The following is a 26,813-nucleotide window of genomic DNA, read 5'->3' on the forward strand; positions in this document are numbered from 1 at the left end:
ATAAATCTTATATATTAGTATCATTATTTAGAGTGGCAGAACATAGCCCATACATAGAAGACAAAAATAATCTGATCATGAAATAAAAATAGAAGAGACCTTGCGTGAAGGAAAAGAAGGGATTCAAAATGCTTTATATATAATAATTAACTTCAAAACCTAATTCTTCTTTATGTATTTTATGGCAGTAAATTCTGTATTCTCAATTATAGCATATTAATATATCTCCAAATTAAGTATATTTATTGAAGCATGACTTAAGTGAGGATTGTTTAAAATGCACAAGGAGGTATTAGTTTAAATATGTTTATTCACGTAATAATAACATGTATAAATAGGCTAGTTTTATTCATAAATATCTGCAGTTATAAGTAAAGTTACTTATAATTCCATTACAGTGTTGGAATAGAAGCCCTGTGAGGACAGGGATTTTGTCTGTTTTTAATGGCTATTTGTCTAGTGCCTAGGGCATATCCTAATTGTGGTAGATATGTAATAAATATTTCATGACTAAAGCAAGTAATATAGAAACATTATATATATTTAGATTCTTGGAAAAGAATTTCAGCATTGCTAGTACAAATCGATTTCATGTAATCTCATGACAAAGGAAAGTTTGGTTCCCATATCTTTTGCTTAGGCAAATGGCATCATGAATTTATGTTTCAGTAAGAAATAGAGGAAACAGTCATTATTTTCAGGGCCCCATTCTGTTGACTAACAATTCTACACAGTCCTGAGGAAATTATGCCACTAGTTTGTGACCCCTCAGCAGCAGATCCCGTGTGACGCTGCTAAGCATACATTGAAATACAAACACTGCTTATATAATACTTCTGGATCAACAATGCATATAAAATTCAAAATCTCCATTTTCCTCTCACAGGTGCTAACCAGCCACAAGGGAACCTAGGACAACAAGGAATTCAAATATTGTCTTATAAGTAACAACCTGGTGCCAGGCAGGGTGGCTGACGCCTATAATCCCAGCACTTTGGGAGGCGGAGGCAGGTGGGTCACTTGAGATCAGGAGTTCGAGACCAACTTGGCCAAAATGGTGAGAAGTTGTCTCTAGTGAAAATACAAAAAAATTAGCCAAGTGTGGTGGAGCGCACCTGTAGTCTCAGCTACTTGGGAGGCTGAAGCAGGAGAATTGCTTGAATACGGGATGCAGAGATTGCAGTGAGCCAAGATCACACCACTGCATTCTAGCCTGTGCAACAAAGCAAGACTCCATCAAAAAAAAAAAACAAAAACAAGTAACAACCTGGATGTTTAGCTTCAAGAAAAGCTTTTATTTATGTATTTATTTATTAGAGACAGGGTCTCATTCTGTCACCAAAGCTGGAGTATGGTGGCACAATCATAACTCACAGTAGCCTTGAACTTCTAGGCTCAAATGATTCTCCTGCCTCAGCCTCCCGAGTAGCTTGGACTGTAGGTCCATGCAACACGACCTGGCTAATTTTTTAATTTTCTTGTAGAGATGAGGTCTCACTATGTTGACCAGGCCGGTCTTGAACTCCTTGGCTTCAAGTGATCCTCCTGCCTCCACCTCCCAGTAGGCTGGGATTACAGGTGTGGGTCACTGTACCCGACCACCAAGAAGAGCTTTGATAGTCACAAAGATAGTCTTCAAATATTGAAATCTTATCAAGAGAAGTATCCATTGGTCAATTTTGCACTTCGACAGAGGGCAAACTATGATTACAAGTAAAATTACCAAAAAAGAAAGTTTCAATTCAGTGCTAGAAAAATATTTTTTTAAGAGCTAGAGTTGCCCCAGAGTTGAATAACTCATCTGGTCAGTTAATGTGACAGTTAATTCTGAGTTTCAGATTTTCTGGGAGAGTCTAGTTGTACATATTTAAATGTTGTATAGTGTTTTGAGTGGAAAATTTAAGGAGGTAATTTAAGATTACTTTTATTAAAAGGAATGTAGTATCAGGCTCTAGTACAGAACACCTTTAACCTAACCATTATATCTATTATATATTAATAGGATTACAAACATTTCACACTGTACATAAATACACAAAACACAGGCAATAATTATAGTGTGGACACAACAGGTAGCACGGGAATAAGGAGAATATAGGGTGTGAGTATCTTTAAATCTGCCATTACATCTGGTTTGGCCCAAATAGTCTCTTTGCTTATAAGTGCTCACTGTGCCCCCATTGGCACCCTTAGGAGGACACCAAGTAGGGGCATGAGTTTACTCACCCCTTTCAGCAGCTGGGGAGAGTTATTGGGCCAGAGAGCCTGTTCTGGCCAGCTCTGCATGTAAAGACCACAGAGATGCAGCTGGTTCCATCTGCATTTTTCTTAGTGTCTGTGTCCTCTCTGAAATTTGTGCTCCCTTGTCCCTATTTGAGAAATCCCTGCAAGTGGTAGCCTCTTTGTCCTGAACCCTGGACCTCTGGCTGTCTCAGAAGCTTTGCATCCTGGTCTAGGGCATGTAGAAACTCTCAAACCCCTGAATATTACCCACAGAAATACAGTCAGAGGTCGGGCGCGGTGGCTCTCGCCTGTAATCCCAGCACTTTAGGAGGCTGAGGTGGGAGGATCACTTGAGGTTAGGAGTTCAAGACCAGCCTGGCCAACATGGTGAAACCCCATCTCTACTAAAAATACAAAAAAATTAGCCAGGCATGGTGGTGCACACCTGTAATCCTAGCTACTTGGGAGGCTGAGGCGGGAGAATGGACGTGGGATGCGGAGGTTACAGTAAGCCAAGATTGAGCCACTGCACTCTAGCCTAGGTGACAGAGTAAGACTCCTCAAAAAAAAAAAAAAAAGAAAGAAAAAAGAAAAGAAATACAGTCAGACAGAAGCACTGCCTCCAGCTCATATCTATTCCTGCCTTCTGTGTCACCATCCCTTTCTTGGTGTTAAAGAGATGTGAGTAGAGATTTTTCTGGAGGCTGTCATCTGAGGTCTGGTATGCCTGGAAGGGGTGACTTGAAAATCTCAAAATCCCACATACTAAAAACAGGTGCTTCTATCTGCCTCCCCATCCTTTTCCATCCCCTTAACCTCAGAATTGCACCTCAAAAGGAGAAATATGAAGGCATTTAACTTTAATCTCATCTCCTTCAACAGGCTCAAACTTCAAACCAGCAATAAGGGCAGAAATTAGACACCGCCTTCTTTATATTAAAACTATGTGATAAAGTCAGCCAGACTTGGTTCTTAATAAGGGTAACAAAAAATAGATTAAAGCAAAATATCCAAAATATTATAGCTGTGACACTTACAAACTATGAATAGAAGAAAATATTAGAATAATAGTGATATAAACATTTAATTTCATAATCTGAGTCATATGAAATATACCACTGTTAAAAATATAAAGGGACATCTCACTTTTCCTAATACATGTGAAAACCACTTTTTTATTTTGAAGCCAACAGTGCCAGGTCACAATATTGTTTCTGGAGAAAAAATGATTTTCATCTCTCAAGATGATATTTTAATCCAATAATCACATTAAATGAACTTGTTTTGTGTGTCTCGATGCACAGTAAAATAAAAATGTGTCGTTGAGTTCTGAAATTCTTAATTTAAATTTAATAAAGTATGCATCAGATTTTAATAGACATGAATCAGCCTCAATGTAAGCAGTCTTCATATAGAATGCAAGCTGTTTAATTTATTTTTGCCTGTTCTAGTTTCACGTGGTAAAATACTGTGTATAGATAAACACTAATCTCCAAAGTATGAAAGGAATAATGAACATTCAAGGAAGGGCACAAAGAACTTCAGAAAAGCAATCAAATTTTCTTTGTTTCAGCTTACAGAGTTAGAGTAAAAATACATACAAAATAATATAATTAACTCTTCACAATGTAATTTTAAATCTCAAAGATTAAACCGAAGCATTTTCCTTATGGACTATCTAATTCTTTGTTTACTAATTTTAAAGTAGACTTCACCAGGTTTGGTACTTTGCTTTGTGAACTAGAAAGTAAACAATAAGCAAGGCAAAAAGAATAAAAAGGGAGAAACCTACTTTAAAACAATCTGAAAATGATAAGCAGAGGTGGTTGTTTACTCTTGATTTAAAAACATGAAGACAAAGAGTACATGATTGCTTTTCCAGGAAAAGCATGAGATGAAATAGGCTTGAGATATAATTTTACTAGAAATCAAAGAAGTACAAAATATTTATAATTAACCACAGCTTAAATTGAACAGGTGGATACATACTGGTTAGCATGTTAGCTCATTGTGTATTTAAAGTTTGTTAAACTATTTATTGCTGCTTCAAGCCAGACTCTGGAACCAAATGGTGTTTGATACCAACCCTTCATTGTCATGAGCCGTGATAGTAACAGATTAAGAACTGCTTTGCATGGCTAATTCTGATAGATGAACTGTTACTTCAAAGCTAGCAGTAATAAAGTCTAATCAGATGTTTAGGAAATGTTTTAGATATTTCAGAGAAAGGGAAGATATAATTTATGGCCAGGAATTAAATGGTGCAAAGGTGTTCGGCAGTTATAAATATTACCTTGGAAGCATAGTTTAAAAAAATCCTGATGAAGATAAAAAGAATAACATGCTCAAAACAACCAACCTGGTTGTCCATGTTTATCAGTGTTTACTTGGAGGAAGACCAATAATGTTATTTTGTCCTGATATGTCCTATTAACATTTGTTGTAAGTTACTTTAATGAAAACAAAGGAAGCCTAAATATGAAATTAGGAAATAGATCCCCAAAGTGATTGAATATTCTTTGAATAGTAATCTATGTCTAACCTATTTAGATAGGTGGAAATCAAAGACTCAAAAAAGACTGGAGGTAAAATTAACAAAATAAATACAAAATTCTGGCCTCCTATTTCACATAAGATGATACACCAAGAAACTGGAGTGATCTTCCACTTAAAATAACTAACAGTTTTATGTACATTTTTGAAACTATCTTCAGAAATACTTCCATGAGCTGGTAAAAACACCCTGGCCAAAGTCAAATGGAGCATTGAATCGGACTTTCATTTTGAGGGCATTTGCCAAATCAGGTAATTTGAGTACTGATTTTTGCAGGCTTTCAGTACTCAGAGGACAGGAAAAAAAGCCCAGGGCTCGCACTTGCAATCAGAGAAGTGGCAGAGACTAGCTAGTCAGAAAGCTTTTTCATCCTTTTCCTAAGCATGGTGGTGAATAATATTTCCTGGCATCTCCTGAGTTAGGTAGCAGTGAGGCAGCTGAGTTCTAGCCGATGTGCTATGAATGAAAGTGTCATATGCTCATTCCAGGCCGGGACATAGCATGAGTTTTCTCCCTTCAACAGATCCAGTGGTCATGTGTTGAAGGTGGTAGTGTCCCAGTTTAGAAGGAAAGTGAATTACTGACTCAATGCATAGGGAAGAGCCATCCTGGAGAATTCCGGTTCTCCTTAATAAGTTCTTATGTATAACTGATTTTAGTTTTCTCATTTTATGTGAAATAATTGGAATTTAGTTCTCCTAAGATTCTTCCAGACGCAAAGTTGTTGGTTTTATTTTGGTAAGAACACATAGCATGAGATCTACCTTCTTAACAGATTTTTAGATGTACAATATAGTATTATTATCCACAGGCACAATGTTGTACTTTAGATCTTTAGAACTAGTATGTATACCTCTGACATAAAATAGACACTTGGTATTTTTGAATAAATAGTGAGCAAATGATCCCTAAACTGCCATTCCCTGCAAAAGTGTCCTCTATAGCAGCTATTCCTCCTATTAATTAAAATTCTATTCCTTCATTGTTACCAACTGATTAGGGTACAAGTTTTAGGAAAATAATAATTGAACAAATTCACCCTCAGGAGTAATGATACCAGCTCTACAGACTGATCAATATTCAGTTGCTATGCACCAGCATTGCTTACATTAGTTGTTAAAGTATTGAAATATTACCATAACAGTTCATAAATATCTGCAGCTTCAAACCCTCCAGTATTTCTCCCCACCACCACCCTAACACCTTTCCAGAGACCTAAGATTTTGTGATCATAGTTCCTTGATTCCACAACTAAAAGAACAGTGTTTGGTGTAAACATCCTTTTCCTTCTTAGCATGAAATTTATAGGCTAACCTTGCCTTTATCTCTTCTGATTTGTTGGTGCTGTCACACTAGTGGTTAAATATTTTGAATACCACTCCCGGATAGCTTGGCTAAACCGTTAAACAATATTTGTCATTTAAAATCATCTACTAAGCCTAGATGAATCTCTTAGTGCAATGTACAGTAAGTAAGACATAATTTTTTATATAATAATTCTTCTAGGTAAAGAAATATCTTAAAAGTATCTGATTGAAGAAACAAGGGGGTGTGGTTAATAGGCATTTAATGAGTATTTGTGAACTTTCTGAGAAACCTCATTATCTTCTCTCTGTATTCGTGGCAAAAAAACAAAAACAAAAACAAACAAACAAAAAAAACACCACCACCACCACCACCACCAACAAAAAACCCTTTTCCTCTACTGCAATTCTGCCTACTCGTATTCCTTAGGAACCCATTCTCTGTCCTTCTTCTCTCACTTTATAATTATCTGTAAGGGTTCTCATCCAGTTCACCTGATATCTATTTTTAGATGATCCTTACATTTATATTTTTTTGCTCAAAACTCTCAGTTCAGTATTTTAACATTGTATTGGTCATCTTTGCCTGGGTTCCTACAATTTAATATTTTCAGATTACCTACATAGAGGCTCCTTGGTGGTCTAGTGGTTAGGATTCGGCTCTCTCAAATAACCTGTGTATTCCCAGTCTCAGTGATTGGCCTGATGATCCTCCTTTTAGACTAAACTTGAAATTGTATATTCATGATCTCACCTTCTCTTTATTCTTCTTTCATTCAGTTATTCACCAAGTTTTCTTAATTCTGCTTCCTAAATATCCTTGAAATCATGTTATATCTTAATTCCCACTACCACATGAGGATGTTCTAGCCATTCTGAAAAATCTTCATGCCTCTGCATATTCTATTGCTCTGCACAGAAGGCCTTTTCTCCTCCCCAACATCTTTTTTCTGCCTTGCAGATGCCACCATTTTATCCTTTTATACTAAGTTCTAAGGTCACCATTTTAGGAATCTGTCTTGACTCCTATTTTCCCCTGGAAGTCATTTGATAAACATCTCTATTACTGCACTTAACAAATTTTATTGTAATGAATTCTGAACTAAGCCGACATTTCCTATACTCTAAGCCACTTTATCCAGTAAAACTGAATTATTTGGCAACAGTTTATCCAGGTTATCTAATAGTCCAGTAAGATGACGTAAGAATTAGCATGGCTGGAAGATGATAGCTGGAAAGACACTGGAGATACATGTACAAATAATGGAGAAGGGAGGGGCAAGCAAGTTTATAAAATCAAAATGACTTCATGTGGACAGAGCATAAAACACAAAGGGGACAGGCAATAGAGAAGTGTAGGGGAAAATACAGGAGAGAAAAATGACAGTTACCCAATGCTGGGAAGGGTAGCGAGGGCATGGGGGGTAGTGGTGATGGTTAATGGATATAAAAATAAAGTTAGATAGAATGAATAAGATCTAGTATATGATAGCACAACAGGGTGAATATGGCCAGCAATAATTCATTGTATATTTAAAAATCTAAAAGAGTAGAATTGGAATATTCCTAACACGAAGAAACGATAAATGCTCGAGGTGATGGATACCCAATTACCACAATGTGATTGTTACATATTGTATGCCGGTATCAGAATATCATATGTATCCCATGAATATATTCACCTGTTACATACCCATAATAATTAAAAATTTTAAAGATTATGAATGAATAAATATGTATGAAGTACTTGGAACAGTGCCTGGAACACAGTGTTATATGAGTTTATAGAGTAAATAAATAAAACACATTTTATATTTACCTCTTAATAAAAGAAAAATAGAGAGGACTTACTTGAATACATATGAAAAATTAAAGATATGGACTTTGTGTTGGAAATTGGTGAGAAATTAGTAAAAGATTTTGTTAGCAAGAGAACTATATGATCTTGCTTTTTAGAAATATCTGTCAGGCAGCATAGTGTTGGAATAGATTGGAGGGGCATAATAGTAGGAACAAGGAACAATAATCCAGTTCAAATAGATGGGCGTGCTCAAATGTCATAGCTGATAGAAAGAAAGAAGAAGATTCACAGGCCCTTTAGATGTAGTGTTGACAGATCATGGTGTTTGGATGGGGAGGGTGAAAGAGAGAATAAGCCTGGGATTCTGGCTTACTAGAATAAGACTGGATATAATAGACTTATTAATGAAAATGAGAAAAACAGAGATGGATACTTTGGCAAGGGTGGAAATGGGTGGGTAGTGATTTTGATTTAGATCTAATCATCTTGAAGGACATATAAGGGATGCACGGGAGGGATCCAGTAGACAGTTGAATGTATGAACTTAGAGCATAGGAGAGAGTTCCAGTGTGGGTTAGGCAGATTTGAAACTTATCGGCCTATTGGTGGTTTTTAAAGGACTAACTGTGGACAAGATGATCCAGGAAGCAAGTATGAAGTGAAAAGTCAGTCACTCTTGTTTGTTGAATAAAAGGAAATCAAGGATCAGTTCTGAGCTGAGGTGAGGAATAGAAACTCAAGTGGACACAATTAAGCATCATATAAAGTAGCCCCTGGTCAATAGTGGGAAAAGTATCACAGAGCACAAACAAAAGAATGAGACTGTGTCCTGCACTCTATTTTTCTTTTATTTTACTCAATCCCTTCTGTTAAAGTGAAATTTTGTCACCAAATGAATCCAGATCCCATGTACCTGGTAGTTGTGTTCTCAGTAAGAAGAAAATGTAGATTTCAACCTTAAGCCTATCTACTCAAATTCCTGCTTCATACTCAGGGATGCCTACATTATTTGTGAGACTCGAAACACCCTGAAAATGTAGGCTCCCCAGTTCCAAAACCAGGAAAAATATGCCATGAAAGGTAATAAAAGGTACCTTTTCCTTTCTTCCACGATCTCTTCCTCTACTTTGATTTTTTAGAATGTCCTATTTAATGTAGTTTTTAAAATAAAAATATCTAAGTTTTAAAATATTATTAATTTTATCATTCAACACTATATTGTGTAGTATCAGTTTTAAGTGCAAATATGAGAGCATGTAACTCACCTGCAGAATCACCAAAATTATACAATTTGTATTTCATAGCTTCGACATGCATATGTCTTTCATTCTTACTGGAAAAGTAGAAACGCTGCACAAAACTAGTTTTTACTTTATTTCCTGATACATGCATGTTCTATCAATACTATCTACTCTTTTGCTTTACTGATTACTAAGGATGAATGAAAGGAAAGGAAGTATGTTCACCTTATCTTACCTTTGTTTCTATGTTGTCATTTTTAGATGCAAATACTCTTCTGTACTCACTTTGAGACTTGCTGAACTCTCATGCTCTCTCGCTACACCAGAATTCTGCTTATGTGGCATCATAAAGGCTGTATGATAATGAGGCAACAAGGAAAGACTGATAGGCATACATATTATACGTATCTTCTTTGCTTAAATTCATGTTTCATTGTCCCATCAGATTTCACTTACAAAACCCAAGCTCAAACATAAAATTATTAAAATTTTAAGACAGAAATAACAGAGCGTTAAGCCAAGCATGACTACAGTTGCACATGTAGTGTTATTTTAGGACATAAAGAAAGCTATATGTTAATAAATGCAAACTAGTCATCCTCTATTACACAACTTTCTCAATCACACAGCATTTTCTTTAAGGTGACAGCAAAAGTTGTCAGTTTTGTTTGTTTTCACCATTTGTGAGATATGTCATTTTGCAGACTTTTCTGCCACTAGAGGGAAAGATAATTTGTGTTCTCTGCTGCAATTCGTTATGCAGGAGCTAGGGAGGGATAGAGAATAATGTATGTTTGTATAGAGAGCTGAAGCAGCGAATACTCTTCATGAGAAGTTTTATCATTTTACATTTATCCTTGATATGTGCCTTTTAAAACATGAAATTCTTTTGAAGTAGGTGAAGCCTCCAATAGTACCATTATCTAAATCTGTTTTTGCTTCTCATTGTCACATGATAGCTTTTCATTTAGTGTGATGCTGGGGAAAGAGAAAGGAGAAGGTTGAATCAATTTATTAGGGCCAGGTACATATGTGGTTTTTTAAAACTCTCAATTTCTACCATACTACCTTACCTTGCAGAAAAGTCATTTCCATATCTGTCATATTTGCATTTTTTTTGTAATTCTGAACTTCTACTCCTTTGTTAAATAAATGATTTTAAAACCACACACACACACAAATACCTACATCTAGGAATACAACGATCTACCATTTGAAGAGCTCTGGAGTTCGAGTTTGGCAAAGCAATTATTTGAACTCCAGCTGTCTTTGACAGAATGTGGAATATGTGTAGATTATTCTATGAAGTGGGAAACCTAAGTCTGTGTCTCAGATGAGACTGAATGAAGAGGTTTACACCAACAGATTTGCCAAACAATAAATGACTTTATAAGACTTTTTTTTTTCAGAAGGTGCTGAAGATAACAGTGCTATTAAGTTGAGCTTAGACCTGATTCTAGACTGACTCTAAATGTTACATTTAAAAACCACTCATTTTTATGTTGCTTTGGTACAAAGATTCATTGGCCATTATTCTTGCCTTATGGAATTGTACTATATAATTACTTGGCAACAATATTTTAATGGTATCATCAGTTTGTGCTTTTTTTTTTTCTACTGGTGGCTGAGTCCATGTCCCCATAAAATACTCCTCGCAAGCTGTGCTAAATTTCCTAGCAGTTGCCTGGCCTCCACCTACACAGTGGAAAAGAATGAAATGGCTTGAGGAAATAGATGATTGTACTTGTACTGGTCAAATTACTAAAGAATCAATAAGGCCGACTCTGTAAGGTTATTGACTGGCAGGCTAATCTGAGCCCATAACTTTACTTCCAACCAATGTTTCAAGGAGTGCTGGATCCAGGACTATCTGTAGAAGCTAAGAATCATAGTGCTGAGAAAAGCAACATAAGATTATTGTATTCAAGTTATTGAGTGTTTTTGAGTCATCCAGTCATTTGCTTATATTGCAGATAGGATGCTCCTTCATCATGCCTATTCTGTCTCTTTAGTGCTTTTGAAAAGGAATTGAGGATGAGCAATCTGCCATTTCCTGTGCACCTAAATTTATCTCATTTATCTTTTTTATAATAAGCTGATATAGTAAAAGAAAGATTACTAATACAGAAGAGTCTTAGCTACTGTAACACTTAGAGAGGATTAAGTTTTTTAATTTCATTATTTTTCATTTTAAACACTGAAAATAAGACAGATAAGAATTTTTTTCCATCTGCATTTTTTTTTTTTTTTTGCTTTTCTGTTTCAGTGTACTTCTAGAGATTAAGTTCTTAGCAAAGACATCATTTATTTAGTATTATCAGTACAAATCACTAGATGCATCAAATAAAATTGAATTTTGAGTTACAAAGACAAGATGGGGGTAGGATAATTGTACAAAACTAAAGTAGAATTAATTCCATTATTTAAAAAATACTAGTGAATTTCTGTAGCTATTTTATTTTTGAAAAGGCAAAAATATATACAGTTTGATCATCTCATTCCCGTAGAAGTCACTCACATCTCAGTTGTTATCCTAGAATGTGTTTGAACTTAGGTATTCATTATGAAATGAGAATAGAATGAGTTATCTATCTGTAACTCAAAGGATATATAGATAATCTTTGGCACATATTTTCACAGTTAAACAATACCAGATAAAATACATATTCTGTTCCACATGGGAAAACTGTATGGATAATTCGTGAGTTGTAAAACACAGGCCATGAGCATTCCTTTTTGGATTGACAAGGAAACAAGAATTGTGAAACACAGGTCATGATTATTAATTCCATAAAGCCTAAAATTTGTACAGTAATCAATATAGATAAGGTAATATCATTGAATGCTTAAGAAAAAATTATTTGAAAAACCACAAATGAAAAATACAAAAAATAAAGTTTTCCAGTTCGTCTCGAGTCTTAAAAAAAAGTTTGTTTACTTCAAGAGATAAAAGTGACAATAGCTAAACAAATATAATTTTGTTAGTCTTACCTTATTAGCCCAAATCCAATTTCTTTGAGTGATGACAATGCTAAAAAATTGTGTTTTCAGTGAAATTGGTGTTCTGTGTCCTCCAAGTCCCCCTCTACCTTTGCTTTTTGGCAAGGTTCCTTTCCCCTCTCCTCTGCGAAATCATAGCACTCAAAAAGATACTGGAGCAATCTCCTTAGGAAGATCCCATTCCGCTGTCTACAATTAGGACACTTGTTAGCCCTCTTTAATGGGATAAAATATGGGTTCATTCTGTATCGTGTAGGCATTTCTCTAATAGAGCTGTTATTAGTAAATTGTGGGCTCATAAGTAAATTGATATTAGTGTGGATCATAAGCCAGTAGTATCACTGTCACCTGGGAACTAGCTAGAAATGCATATTCTTAGGCACCAAGCTGATCTACTGAACCTGAATCTGCATTTTAACAAGATTTTTATATGCATTAAAATTTGACAACACTTTGTCTACACCAGAATGGTATTAACACTGAATGATGGCCAAGAAAAAATAAAATGTCCAGTTGCAAAACTGCCTCAGTCTAAAGAAATGATGTATATGGTGACAGTACTAGGCTCCATGTCAGGGCAGGTGAAGCTAATGGCTGTTTAGGACTGTAGCGGTAGCATATCATACAGTCATCATTTTCTCAGTCTTTGACAAAAGTTATTCCTTATTTTACTGGAAAAAGTTTACATCATAATGCAAATTTAAAAAGGATTTAAGGAACAGTACATATATTTGCAATGACAGAGAAAGGGAAAGAGAGAGATTCTGAGAAACTTTTATTTAAGCCCTAGCAGAATTTTGACCTCTTAGAAATCAAGCAATAGAAGTATGGCTTTGCCTTTAACTTCTGAGGTTTGAGCAGAAATGTAATTTTCCAGCCTCTCATCATTTCTGTGACCTTTCTGAATTTCTTCACATTCTTCATTATTACTGGAGTTTAGAACTGAGTATATCTCACTACTTTCTTAGGAAAGGCCTTAATTAATATTTGAAGGAATTTGAGCTTCTAATTCCCACATCCTTTTTAATGCCTTATTTTCTATTACAGCTGTGCCCTAAATAGTTTTTAAATAATTAGCTGTACATGGTAATTTATATTTTTAACAAACTTACTACATAATTATCGTTCATGTGGTCTTTAGACCAGATTTTGAAATACTGTGAAGATTAAGCACCAGACTCAACACTAAGATTTTCAGGGTAAAAAAAATAACAATTTTAAAAATGTGTAAATCATAGTTTTTATGTGACTGAAACTATCATCTCCAATTCCAGTTTGCCTTATAAGTTTTATTTTTAATATAGCAAAATTCTCCCCCCTTCCTGCAATTTTTGCAGTGTAAATTGTGCTTACTAAAGTTAAAAATATTTTAAGTTTTTACCAATTATGTTTTCTTTTATACTTTAAGTTTTTCTTATTAATATCTATAGTTATTTCTAATTTTTTATCTCATAAAATCTGCTGGAATTTAATTTTTAAGACATTCCAATTTTTATTTTGACTATGGCAGCAATTTAGTCAATTTCTAATATATTTCCAAAAAATGATCTCCCTAACATTTCCAGAAAAGCCTTGAAATCCTAATAACATTTCTTTGGAACAGGCCAGTTGAGGTTTTTCTCATGATGATCATGTTAGGACTGTCATAGTGGAAAGCATCCCATTTGAGGAAAGCCCTCCTTATTCTTTGTGAATTTTAGAAATTTGATCTCTGAATCCTCTGGAATGAAAAAAATCTTAGGCAGACTGACAGATAACAATTTTATCAGAATTGTAATAAGTTACCATAAATTAACACTGAATATGAAGACAGTGCTTAATTAAATTGTATATATTCAAATACATTTATTGAAGAATTAACGCTGAATTAAATTAGTTACAATTTTCATGCCTATTAGTGACATAGAAGCTCCTTTAAAATATAATAAACATGTCAGCTTACCACATAGTAGTTTCTTCAAATTGTTGAGATTTAAATAAGGATAGGCCTGTGTTAGCGAGGAATAAAAATATTGTGCTTCAGCTCAGTAGCTTCCTTCTTGTGTTTTCTTTATATCAGTGTGTGTTTGTATATTCCTTTTTAACAACTTTATAATTTAATAAAATCTTGTCTGTAAGCTTAGCAACCCATAATTTATCATTATACAACTGGACTAATGAATTTATTTTACAGGTACATCATCAACCTGGAATCATTTTTGTCTGTTACATACATTTTACATGTAGAATTCCTTGAAATGTTAAAATGTGCTATCTGGAGAAGGGTATCCTAGAAAGAATGATGACTGTACCAATAATTAGAAAGAAGCAAGAATTTTGAAGGAAATATGAGGAGTTCCATCTTCATCATGGTCAAATAAGAAAGATAATAGAACACCCAAGAGGCAATATGAGACAGCTCAAAACACAATATTGAATGCTGTGCAAGATTAAATGAAGAGAAAAGAGAAGGGCTGGTATTCATTCATGCTGGCCCACACAGGAATAAAAGCACTTACCGCATTTTCTAGAGCATAATAGTTTTAGCAACTCTTTTGAATCTGCTTCTTTCTGTTTTATACATTTACTTTAAAACACACATCTTGGAAGTATCCTCTTTTTTAAAAAATCAAAAATATTCCATGGTAAATAACATACACATTCCTTTCAGGTTGTGTGTATACATTTGTTGTAAACAAATATCTTAGAATTAATATTAACATTTTTCTGTCAAGATGTGTTATTTAAATACATATACAAATTATATGTGTATTTAACAGCCCCACAATGTGATTTAATTTTTATGTGCATTAATCTAAGAACATTATGGAGCATATAAACCAAAATATCAAGAGTGGTTATCTCAAGACAGTAAGATTATAAATGCCTTTATTTTCCACTTCTGATTTTTTTTTTGTGTATATATATATATATATATATATATATATATATATATATATATACACTATATATATACATACATGTATATTTTCTCTCTCTCTTTTAAATAGAGACGAGGTCTTGCCATCTTGCCCAGGCTGGTCTCAAACTCCTGGGCTCAAGTGATCTTCCCACCTCAGTCTTCCAAAGTGCTGGGATTACAGGTGTGAATCACTGCACTTGCCAGTTTTTTTTTTTTAATAACAAGAAAAAAATTTAGCAGAATTTAAAAAAAGAGAAGTAGTTCAAAATAGACATTTCTTATGACTGTATATTTTTTATGATGGGCTGTCATTAAATATTTAGCCAAAAAAAGAAGTAAAACCATATGAAATTTTAATTACTTAAGGAACAATGTCATGTAACATTGGTAGGAGTGGCTACTAGTCTGGAAAATAAGTTTGGGCAGAAATAGTAGACTGTGGCTTAATATTAAGGCTACCTGCAAATGCCCCTGTAACATAACTAGTACTGGACAGAATGTAAGAGTTATGAATTTGGGATGACAAACATGGAGACTCAGAATACATTATATGGATTTTTAGATTAATACAGAAGTTATAGCATGGAATCAGGATCCCTCCTTAGGTAATTGCCCCACTCCTATCCCTCTTCACATTGTCTTATAATTACCTATTAAGTTAGTTCTCTTTATCCATGGACTGTAAGTTCATCACACGTGAACTTGGTTTTCTTTACTGTGCTTGGTATATAAATAGGGCCTTAATGTATTCTGGCTAGATGAGAGATGTGTGACAGGCGAAAAACCAAGCCCGGGGGGGGAAAAAAAAGGTAATTTAGAAAAGAAAATAAACAGAGGGAAATACCGAACAATACAGATGGCTCAGCAGAAATTGTAGAAAGCGACATAAATAGATTTTAAGAGCATGACTTTGGGACTAAGATAACCCTGGTTTGATTTTCTTCTCCATGAGAATGAAGAGCAGATGTAACGGGCTAAAGTGAGTAAGGATAGCAGCACTGAGTAGTGGCATCAGAAAAGCATCTAAGTTTTATTACAAGACAAATTAAACTCAGAATATAACAAGGCTCATTCCTGGGAATAATTTTTTAAAACACAGCTGAGATAGTCATAAAACATGCAGTTATTTTAAATTTAGAAACAAAACCAGGACCTTTAAAAATTTATGCTTCTCTGATTTTTGTCCTTCCAAAATTAGTCTAGAAATAAGTTTATTGAGAAGTCAGCTGTTTTTAGGCTCTATGTTGACTTTTAATAGTATCAAACGAATGGTAGGGGAAAAAAATGAAAATACCGGTTATCCTTGTTTGAGGAATCTAGCTTTGGGAGAAAAGTGACAAAATATGCTTAATTTTTTTCCTTTCATTTTTCAGATGTCGTTTTAGAAAAACACTTAGGGAGGAAAGAATGTGAGTGATTTTTGTTTTCATGCCAGAGCACAGACACTTACGTGACAATTGGAGTAAATAAAGTAAGCTTTGACTACTGTTCTCTAATTCATGCGTACCTCTGATATTGACGTGTTAAGGAAAATAACGTATCTGCAGCCCCTTTCCAGAGAGGCACTATGACGTAAGAGTTCAGAGTATGAGCACTGTTATTTCACACACCTGTGTTCATATCCTTGCTTAGCAGGAAGACCCTGGAGAAGTTTTTCAGTTTCTCTGAAGGCTGCATTCTCATCTGGAAGATGGAGATAATAACTTCCTCATAGGATTGTTGGGATAATTAAATGAGGTAATTCCTGCAAAGGGTTTAACACAGTGCCTAATACTAGCAATTGCAAAGAAATATAAATTATTTTGTTATTATTATGTAAGCAGATATCACATCAACTGTTAGTCCTCAGACTTGGCAACTTACAACTGGCGGAAGGAGAGGAAAGGAAAAAGAGAGAGCAATGTCATAGTAGGTTGTTGTTCTTTTCTATAAATTCATACTGCAAAGAGAAGAAAAGACCAGGAGCCTGAGCAGAAGCCCCTAAATATAGCCAAAGTCAAGGTTATTAATAGAGTGTGGGATTGCTAAAGATTAGAATAAATGAATCTAAGACAGAGGGGACACAGGAAAGAGGAGATATGAGAATCCTCTGTCATTTACCTCCCTGACTTTCCTTTCAGGTGTCTTACAGTAGTGAAACTGGAGAGAGTAAATGAAAGGAGGGAACTGTTGACAGCAGAGAATCAGAATAGGAAAACTTGGTGTGCCTGTTATGACTCTTCCAAAAGAGCTTCCCTAAGAGCAGAGTCCCAAAGGAGAAGGCATGAAGCATGATGTTTTAGTTTTGCGCTAACTCCTCTTTCTCTCAGAGTATCTGCTTTTTCATATCAGAGCTGAGTCTTATCAACAATAGTAGCAACTTAACATAAATGAACATTCCATAATTAAAAGGACTCCCTTTAATTAAAAATACTGTGCAGACAGGAGGTGCTTCTTAAAGCTTGGAAGATTGATGGACGGCGCAAAACCACCTATTAGAACCACAAATAGGGAGCAGAAATTTAAACACTGAAAATTAGAGGAATGTCATTTGTATTTATTAATACTCAACCAATATTGCATTGAATATCTATATTGTTACAATACTAGGAGTGGAGAATACTAGCAAATTAAAGGTGTTTTATCTTAAAGCACTAAATCATATGTATAGGCACTTATAAGGCATTACGTTATAAAATACTAGTTGTATCTTTTAGGTAAAAGGAGCAAATGAAAGTTGAGTGGGATTCACATAGCCTGCAGTCTTCATGATTTCCACATGGAAAGAGAGAATTGGAGCTAGCATTTAAACACTAACATACGTGAGTAAAGATAAAGTGAATGAAAAATTGTAGTGGACTGTAATTTGTTAGCTAAAAATTTTAGTATCTATCTATTAAAGTGTTTCTTATGCTGTTGACACTTTAAAGCTAAAAATTTACATTTTCTCAAACCCCAACATCTAAAGTGGGTAGAAGGAGTTATAGCCACTGGTCTGCTCTCTCTACACTCCCTTCATTTGGAGAACATCACCTGTGGGAAAGAAAAGAAGTCAGGTGACCTGGGTCTATTCTCCTTGTCAGCTGGACATCCAGGAAAATGGACTAAAAATATTTGGAGAAAGAGACCTTATCTCTGCAATGCTGTCAGCATGATGTGCTGGCAAAGAATAATGAAACTTAGTAAACATAACCCTGTATCGGTAAGGCATGGCCATCTGTAAGGAATGCCACACATAAACTATAGAACTATCTGGAGTATAAAATGAAGATGTTTCAGAATTTAACAATCACTGCTTTATGAGGAATCCCAGAAGCCTCATGTAGGGATAATGCAGGGATATAATCTCTTCTGGCCAGAGCTGCTTGTCAGACATGAGAAGGAAGAACCTGGGGAACCACCCTTAATGTCTGTTCTCTCTGTGCTTGGTCTGAGGCTTTTCTTGTCTGTCTCCTTGAAATAAGTACTAGGTTACTACTGAGTAAGGTCTCTGATTCTCGTGAGTCTGCTTTGAGAATCTAAACCAGTGTGCTAGCTCATAGGTTGCTAGATATGATTTGGGCTCCACTAAGCAGATGCTCTGTAATGAGCCTTCAATTTGTAGTCCATTAAGTCAGGAGAGAGGCAGTGCATTGACAATTATTTTACTAATCCACTTACCACTACAGTTAATGGGAGCAAGTTGTGTGCATGGTGGCGGTGAGAGAGTAAAAATCTTGTATGTTTCATAAGAGAGGTAGTGAAAGTGACAGCAAGAAGAGTAAATAACATCAGAAAGGGAATGTAAAAATTGTTTGAATTCCAGCTTTGTTCTGAGACACAGCAAGCAATTGTTGTTTCTCATTATTTTAAAAGAAATTGTGTCTTTTTGAAGTTACTCTTGAATTGCTTCAATGACAAATTCATACTCTAGAGGCACCCCATTCCTTGTTTGATGGCTCCAGTTGTTGCACAGTTATATTGATACAGATCTGTCTCCAAAGAGATTCCAACCAGCAGCCTGCTCCTTGGTGCTAATTTTTATTTTGACTTCAACAACTATCAAATCCATCAAGGTATGCTAGTCACCTGGTTTTTGTTGTCTTAGTTATTTTAGTAGTTCTCTATATCGTTTTTAAAAGTCTATATTGCATCCTGAGGTCTCTTCCCTGAATGTGCTTAAATTTGGGTAGGCTCCTTTTTTGAAAATAGATATTAGGTTTCTCTGCAACACAACCACCACCACCAACAGAAAATGGCAAGAAAGGAAATAAAAGAGTAATGAAGGATGAGCCTATAGATTAAAATACACTAAAAAGAAAAACTTAACACATAGTAACACATGTACTTTATTTGGATACTGATTCAAATGAGCTGCAAAATTAATTTATATATGAGTTATTTGAAAATTTGAACATTAACTGAAAACTTGATGATATTAAGAAATCATTTTTTTTCTAGGTATGATTTTAGTATTTGGATTATGTTTTAAAATTTCTAATATTTTAGAGATGCATTCTGAAAAATTTTATAGATTTGTTTCAAAGTAACTTAGGGTGGTGGTGGTGAGTATATAAATATAAACATATATATGGTTGGGTGCAGTGGCTCACACCTGTATTCCCAGCACTTTGGGTGAACGAGGCAGGTGCATCACTTGAGGTCATGGATTCAAGACCAGCCTGACCAACATGGCAAAAGAAACCATCTCTACTAAAAATATAAAACTTAGCGAGGTGTAGTGGTGCACTCTTGTAATCCCACCCACTTGGGAGGCTAAGGCATAAGAATCATTTGAACCCATGAGGCAGAGTTTGCGGTGAGCCGTGATTGAGATCGCAGCACTGCACTCCAGCCTGAGCAACAGAGTGAGACTCTATCTCAAAAGAAAGAAAAGGGAAGGAAAGGAAAGGAAAGGAAAGAAAAGGAAAGGAAAGGGGAAGAAAGAAAGAGAAAGGAAAGGAAAGGGGAAGAAAGAAAGAGAAAGAAAGACTTTTGTTAATATTTCAAATTCACCATAATAAAGGCATCATTAAAAAGTTTTAGATGAAATCTCATTAGATAAGGACAGTTTTCTCTCACTAGCTATACGTCTTACTTCAAGAAAGCAGCTCAAAAATGTGTGTATATATATGTATATTTAGTTAGCCAGTCAAAAGAATGAACAAATAGATAAAAAATATATCACTACAAGTAGAATGTACTATTAATAAGAAATCATGGGATTCCATAAATTAATTTATTAGTTATATAAATAAATAATAGTCATCTCTTTTAAAATTTAAACATGGGCAATTGGAGTTGACTCTGTTTTGGCTATTTCCTTGCTCTTAGCAAAAATAAAAACAGAGTCTTTAGCTTCAACTTAAGATCTTACAGAAAAAGAGAAACAGAACCGTGACTAGAGATACTCATTTTTTAAGGAATCAAATTTTATATGAAAGCTATTACATATATAATTTCTAGGGTTACTTCTTAAATCAACCCAGTTTCTGGCATAAAAATACTTTCACTATAATCACCAGTACTGAAAATGTGGTCCATTTGTGCCCATGAAACTTGCTGCATTTGGCTCTGAGCAAAAGGACACTGGTAGGATAACAATTAAAATAAAAGTTAATATTTTATTTACCTTCTTAGTTCTAGGTCAGTTTTCAAACTATAGAAACAGAGCATTATTTAAATATTCCCTCAGATGACTAGGGGATCATTCAGTGGCCTCAAGTACTATTTTTTAAAAAACAGTGAATAAAAAGAACATGTATTCACTCCTTCCCTGAAAGTTATATTATTCTTCCAAGTGGCTTTTTTCAACACAATGAAATACACACACACACACACACACACACACACACACACACACACAAACTTAAAATAGGCTAAGTGTAAAAATTATAGAAAATATTTATTGCCTATTTTTGAGCACACAAACCAGAAATATGTGTCTTTATTGATGTACTTTCACACCCAGTTGAAATATAGCAAATTATCTTGAAAAACTTTGATTCTTTCTAAAATACATACAAAAATAGTTATATACAACTTAGTAATTTGACAAGTAGTCTCGAAAATATGATATTCACAGTCTTACCAAGATTTTAATGTCCAGTGATTTACTAACTTTGTTGTTTATATAACAAATTAGCCCTAATGTATTCAATATTTGATTGCTTGATATTTTCTCAGTAAGAAGCAGATATAGTCAATATACATAGATTGCCTAAAATAGGAGTCATTGCCAAGGGTCAAATATTATAAAGGGCAAGCCTCTTTAAAAGCATCCTTTATATCACAGAAATAGAGAAGGAGTTATTTTTCAGTGGTTGAATGTACAGAATAATTTACAAGATTGAAGTGTATAAAACATTTTATACACTAAAGCTCAATGTGCCCACTTGTGCTGAATAGCTTATTGTGGCTTGAGCTTCTCATACATTCTCAAACATGACTTAAGGGTGAATGGATTCAATTATCCTACATCTAGAGGCAAATTTCACCTAAATGTAATTGCAGGAATCAAGAAAACAATCCAAACTTCTACTGAGATATCTGTAAAAATTCTCACTGAAGGAATCAAGTGATTTTGAATGACACTTATAAATATGCAAAATTTCATCATATTCAAGTATGTTTCAAGCTGTACAATAACACAGGTTTAACTTGAAAAGGAAAACAATGAATGTTATTATTTTCATCATGCCTTGTATAGGCTATGTTTTTTGGCAATAATTAGATTTCAAGTAAAACAAACTTCACATCATCACATAACCATTTTATTTTAAGACAGAGGTTTCACTCCTGTCACCCAGACTGGAGTGCAGTGGGCGCGGTCTTGGCTCACTGCAATCACCACCTCCTGGGCTCAAGCAATTCTCCTACCTTAGCCACTCAAGTTGCTGGAATTACAGGCTTAAGCCAATGCACCCGGCTAATTTTTGTATTTTTATTAGAGATGGGGTTTCGCCACGTTGGCCAGGCTAGTCTTAAACTCCTGGGCTCAAGTGATCCACCCGCCTTGGACTCCCAAAGTGCTGGGATTACAGGCATGAACCACTGTGCTGGGCCCCCCCCTTTTTTAATTGTAATAAACAATGGAATCCAGTTGCAGCAATGTCAGTCATATCTCTGGTCATCTGATGTTTCTCTGGGCTTGGGTGCACATCACATCCGGATGTGTGTTTCATTCTTATTTCCATTGAGATATAGATAGGTTTCTCTACCAGACAGTTCCTGCTTCGCCATAATAGCAGTTTTATTTTGGTTTTGCATTTTGGGGGCATTAATTCTGACCCAAATTCTATACATCAAACTCTAATGTCAACCAAGATCTGTTTCTGTGTCATAAATCCAATTCCCAGAAAGAGGATCTGATTGGCGCAGCTTTGGGTAACTGTTTCCAGCATACACTTCTCCTTTGAATTACAGTCTTACATACCCGACTGCCTATTGCGCACATCCACTTAGATGTCAAATAGGCTTTAAAATGTAAAATGACCAAATTTCAATGACGATTTTCCTTAGAGTCATGTTTGATTCTTTTTTTTTTTTAACCTATATGCAATTCAAGAACTATTCCATTTAGCTTTACTTTTAAATATACTCAGAAAATAATGTCTGCTCGGTACTTCAGCACTACTGTCTAGGCCAAACCATCATGTACTCCTGCCTGGATTATTCATCTCTTTGCATCTGCCCATGCCACCTACGGTTTATACTCAGTACAAAAAGTAGAATCATCTTTTAAAAATTTAGATCATGTCACTTCTCTGGTCAGGTTTCCTATCTCACTTGTAGTAAAATAAAAAGGCTTTGCAATGATCTACATGGTTCTGTATTACCTACTTTCAACCCATTACCTTTCTGATCTTTTAACATTTTGTTCTTTATGTTACTCACTTGGCTCCAGCAATACAGACTTTTTGCTTTTTCTCACATGTGCCAGGTACATTCTCAACTGTGTGGTCTTTCCTCCTGACTTAAATGTTCTTCCCTGAGATGGCTGCATGGCTCACTCCCTCACTCTCTCCAACTCTTTGTTTAAACATTGTCTTCTCAATGAGGCTTTTTCTGACTATCTAAAATTGAAATTCCTCTCCCAATATTCCCTAAGCTTGCTCCACAGTTTAAATTTCTCTTAAGAAATTATCCTCATCTAACATTCTATATATTTTACTATATGTTTATTATATCCCTCTATTCCTTTGACATCTCACCAGAATGTAAGCTTCATGAACAAACAGATTTTTGTCAATTGTGTCCTAAACCAGGCTTCCAAATAAATGTTTGTTAAATAACTTGTCCACGTAGGACCCAATCAACCATTCCTGTTCAGTGGAGGGCCATAGGAAGAGGAGGTTTACGAAGAAAAGGATGTCATGGAAAGAGAAAATAATTACTCTCATATAGGCATATATTGTTATTTATTTCCAAAATAAAAGAAATAATGCTCAGTATCGCTCAATGATTTACTTAGCATTATATAACTAATTAGTGTTAGAAAGTAAATTGAAGTCCCGCACACTCAAGTTCATAGTTCTTTTAGTGATTTTATAGCCATAGCTTCATATGACCAGAGGTGTGTTAGTAAAGAGATTCAAAGTCATCACATTTCAATATAGCTCTAAAGCCAACTTGTTAATTGGAAAATTGCTAGATTATCATTATATCCCAGTGATTTTCCTATTAGTTTACTATTTGAGGTCATATGAATTATCTATTTAATAACAGAAATTTGGGGCAAATTGGGCCATGATATCCTTCCTGACCTCAGGTCAATATATTTCATCTTCACCTACAAGTTTAAAAACATATACCACAAGAATTGTTCAATTAAAATGCTTCTGAAGTCTACATTACCAGTGATGTGTTCTTAAGTTTTGTGGTAGTCAAAGGACCTGCTAATGTCTGATATTCTATTGTCATGGATACTGACAGGCTGAAGCTGTCAGGTTGGGAACATTTGCCATTATTTCTGATGAAAATAATGAGAATTGGCCAGGCGCGGTGGCTCACACCTATAATGCCAGCACTTTGGGAGGCCCAGGCAGGCAGATCACAAGGCCAGGAGTTCGGGACCAGCCTGGCCAACATAGTGAAACTCCGTGTCTACTAAAGTTACAAAAAATTAGCCAAGCATGGTGGCACGTGCCTTTAATCCCAGCTACTTGGAAGGCTGAGGCAGGAGAATCACTTGAACCTGGGAGGCACAGGTTGCAGTGAGCCGAGATCCAGCCATTGCACTCCAGCCTGGGCGACAGGGCGAGACTCCATCTCAAAAAAAAGAAAAAAAAAAGAAAATAATGACAGTTGCTATTGGAAAATATATCTAATCAAAAACATAATACAATGGACCCACACATTTGTGAATGGGTTGATTCCAAAACAACTATTTAAAAAGAGTTATAGCTATATTGCAGAAAGCATACTGCCACTTTAAAGAATCTAAGTTAAGATAAAGAGAAACTTTAATTGCACCAAGACCAAATGAGTCTCAGAAGTTTTGATTCAAATTACTAAAGTTTGGGGAAAATAAAGTTAACTGATAATGAGATTGAATATTTGAATTGCATCTTTAAAAATATCACATCTTAAACTTTTTTTTTTTTCAGTTCAATGATTCACTATTGCTCTGCCAAGTTTCTTTCTCTTAGGAAAACATCACTAATTAGAAATGAGGCATATTTCATGAAGAAAATATTATTTTTCTGTTCTTAACAACATGTTTCACTTTTTATTTCATTGGCTATATTGAAGAGTTAGAAGGAAATTGTATTGCCTTAAAAATCAAGACATTATTTTTATTTATATGTATAATTAGACTATTTAGATGAATTGATTTTCTTAATGTGCTGTGCTTAAGAAACTAGTTAGAAAATTAATCCAATAGATTTTTTTGACCAAATTCCAGTCAGATTCAAGAGAGGTTTCTCAATATTAAAGTGGAAAAAAACAGTCTTTTTTCCCATTTTTAAGCACCATTTTTAAGAACTGAGAATTTGTCATAGAGCATATTAGTGCTATAATAGACTAACAGCTATGAGTCTTTCATCTCTTAGGAGCTGAAATTTATTTCCTAGCTCATTATATCCTAGGACAGGAAGGAAGGAAGGAAAGAAGAAAGAGAGGGAGGGAGGAAGAGATAAAAAGAAATGGCAATCAAGAAAGGCAGAGCCCATGCTTACTAAAGATTTTTAAATTTGATAAGCTTGGAATTGATGATAAAATATAAAACTTCCATGTTAATATCCTATGTAAGAAAACACAACCAACTTATTATCATAACTTGGCTTACATAAAATTGTCCTTGTTAGTTCTATTGTTTGTTTGTTTTTTGAGACGTCTCATTCTGTTGCCCAGGCTGGAGTGCAGTGGTGTGATCATGGCTCACTGCAACCTCCACCCCCTGGTCTCAAGTGATCCTCCAACCTCATCCTCCCAAGCAGCTGGGACTATAGGCATGTGCCACCACACCCAGCTCATTTTTATATGTTTTTGGTAGAGACAGGGTCTTGCTATTTGCCCAGGCCTGTCTCTAACTTCTGAGTTCAAGCGATCTGCCTGCCTTGGTGCGCTGGGATTACAAGTGTTGAGCCACTGCAACCAGCCTGGATTTTTCTTTTAGGATTTTTAAATGCATTTTGTATTTAGAGGTAATTAAAAATTCACAGGTAGTCATGAGAAATAATATAGAGTAATCAAGTATACCCTTCCCTGGATTTCGTCTTACATAACAAGAGCACAATATTAAAACTAGAAAACTGGTATTGATATAATCCATCGAGCTTATTCAGATTTCACAAGTCTTACATTCACTCCTTTGTGTATGTATGTGTATGTTTAACTCAATGCAGTGTTATTGTATGTGTAGTTTCATGTGATCACCGCCACAGCCAAGAGAGAGAACAATTTCATCTAAAGTCTCCTTTGTGCTATTATGATCTCAGATACCTCCCCCCAAAACCCCAACCCTGACACCTGGCAACCACTAATTTACTTTCGATCTCCATAATTTTGTAATTTCAAGCATGTTATGTAAATGAAATTACACAGTATGTAACCTTTTGAGACTGGCTTTTTTTCACTCAGTGGAATTCTCTGGAGATTCATCTAAGTTGTTTCATGGCTGAGTAATAATCCATGTAGTCCAAAGTAGTCCATAGTGCAGTGGACTGAATTTTGTCCCTCCCAAAATTCATATGTTGAAGCTTTAACCCCCGATATGACTGTATCTGGAGATAGGGTCTTTCGGGTTAAAGGAGGTCATGAGTGGGGACCTAATCTGATAGGACTGTGGGCCTTAGAAGTAGAGGAAGAGAGATTTCTGTTTTTCTCTGTCATATAAGGACACAGAGAGAAGGTGGCTATTGCAAGCCAAGAATACAGCCCTCACCGGAAACTAATTGGCACCCTTACCTAGGACTTCCAGCTTCCAGAACAGTGATAAATAAATAAATTTCTGTTGTTTATGCCACCCAAGAGTGTGGTATTTTCTTACAGAGAAGTCTGAGCTAACATACATGGCATGAATATACCAGTTTAAAATGTTTATTTAACCCAGAGCCTCTGGGTTGCTTCCAGTTTGGGGCTGTTATGAATGAAATTGCTATTAAAATTCATGTGCAGGTTTTTGTGTGACATACTTTCTTATTTGTCTAGAGTAAATGTCCAATAGTGTAATTGCTGGGTGATATGGTAAGTGCCTATTTGATTTTGTAAGCAACTGCCATACACTTTTTCTTGGCTAACTGCATTGTTTTATATTCCTACTAGCAATATGTGGGTGACACATTGTTTCCACAGCCTCACAGCATTCAATGTTATCATTGTTTTT

At 35.2% G+C, this 26,813-nt stretch overlaps 1 protein-coding gene across 14 annotated transcripts in view; it reads left to right on the forward strand.

The window, feature by feature from the left end:
• Nucleotides 1-26,813, forward strand: part of GRID2 (glutamate ionotropic receptor delta type subunit 2) — a 1,506,491-nt gene that overhangs the window by 844,370 nt on the left and 635,308 nt on the right. The window contains exons 1-2 of one of the 14 annotated variants that reach the window (XM_047450134.1): nt 15,372-16,762; nt 17,722-17,826. The exons of 12 other annotated variants lie outside the window; for them this stretch is intronic. The gene's annotated coding sequence lies outside the window, so the exon portion shown is untranslated. Of the gene's footprint in view, nt 1-15,371; nt 16,763-17,104; nt 17,827-26,813 lie in introns of those variants that run through there. One more of the 14 variants, XM_047450135.1, reaches the window with a different exon arrangement.

This window comes from Homo sapiens, chromosome 4 (assembly GCF_000001405.40).
Source record: "Homo sapiens chromosome 4, GRCh38.p14 Primary Assembly".
NCBI classification, from domain to species: domain Eukaryota; kingdom Metazoa; phylum Chordata; class Mammalia; order Primates; family Hominidae; genus Homo; species Homo sapiens.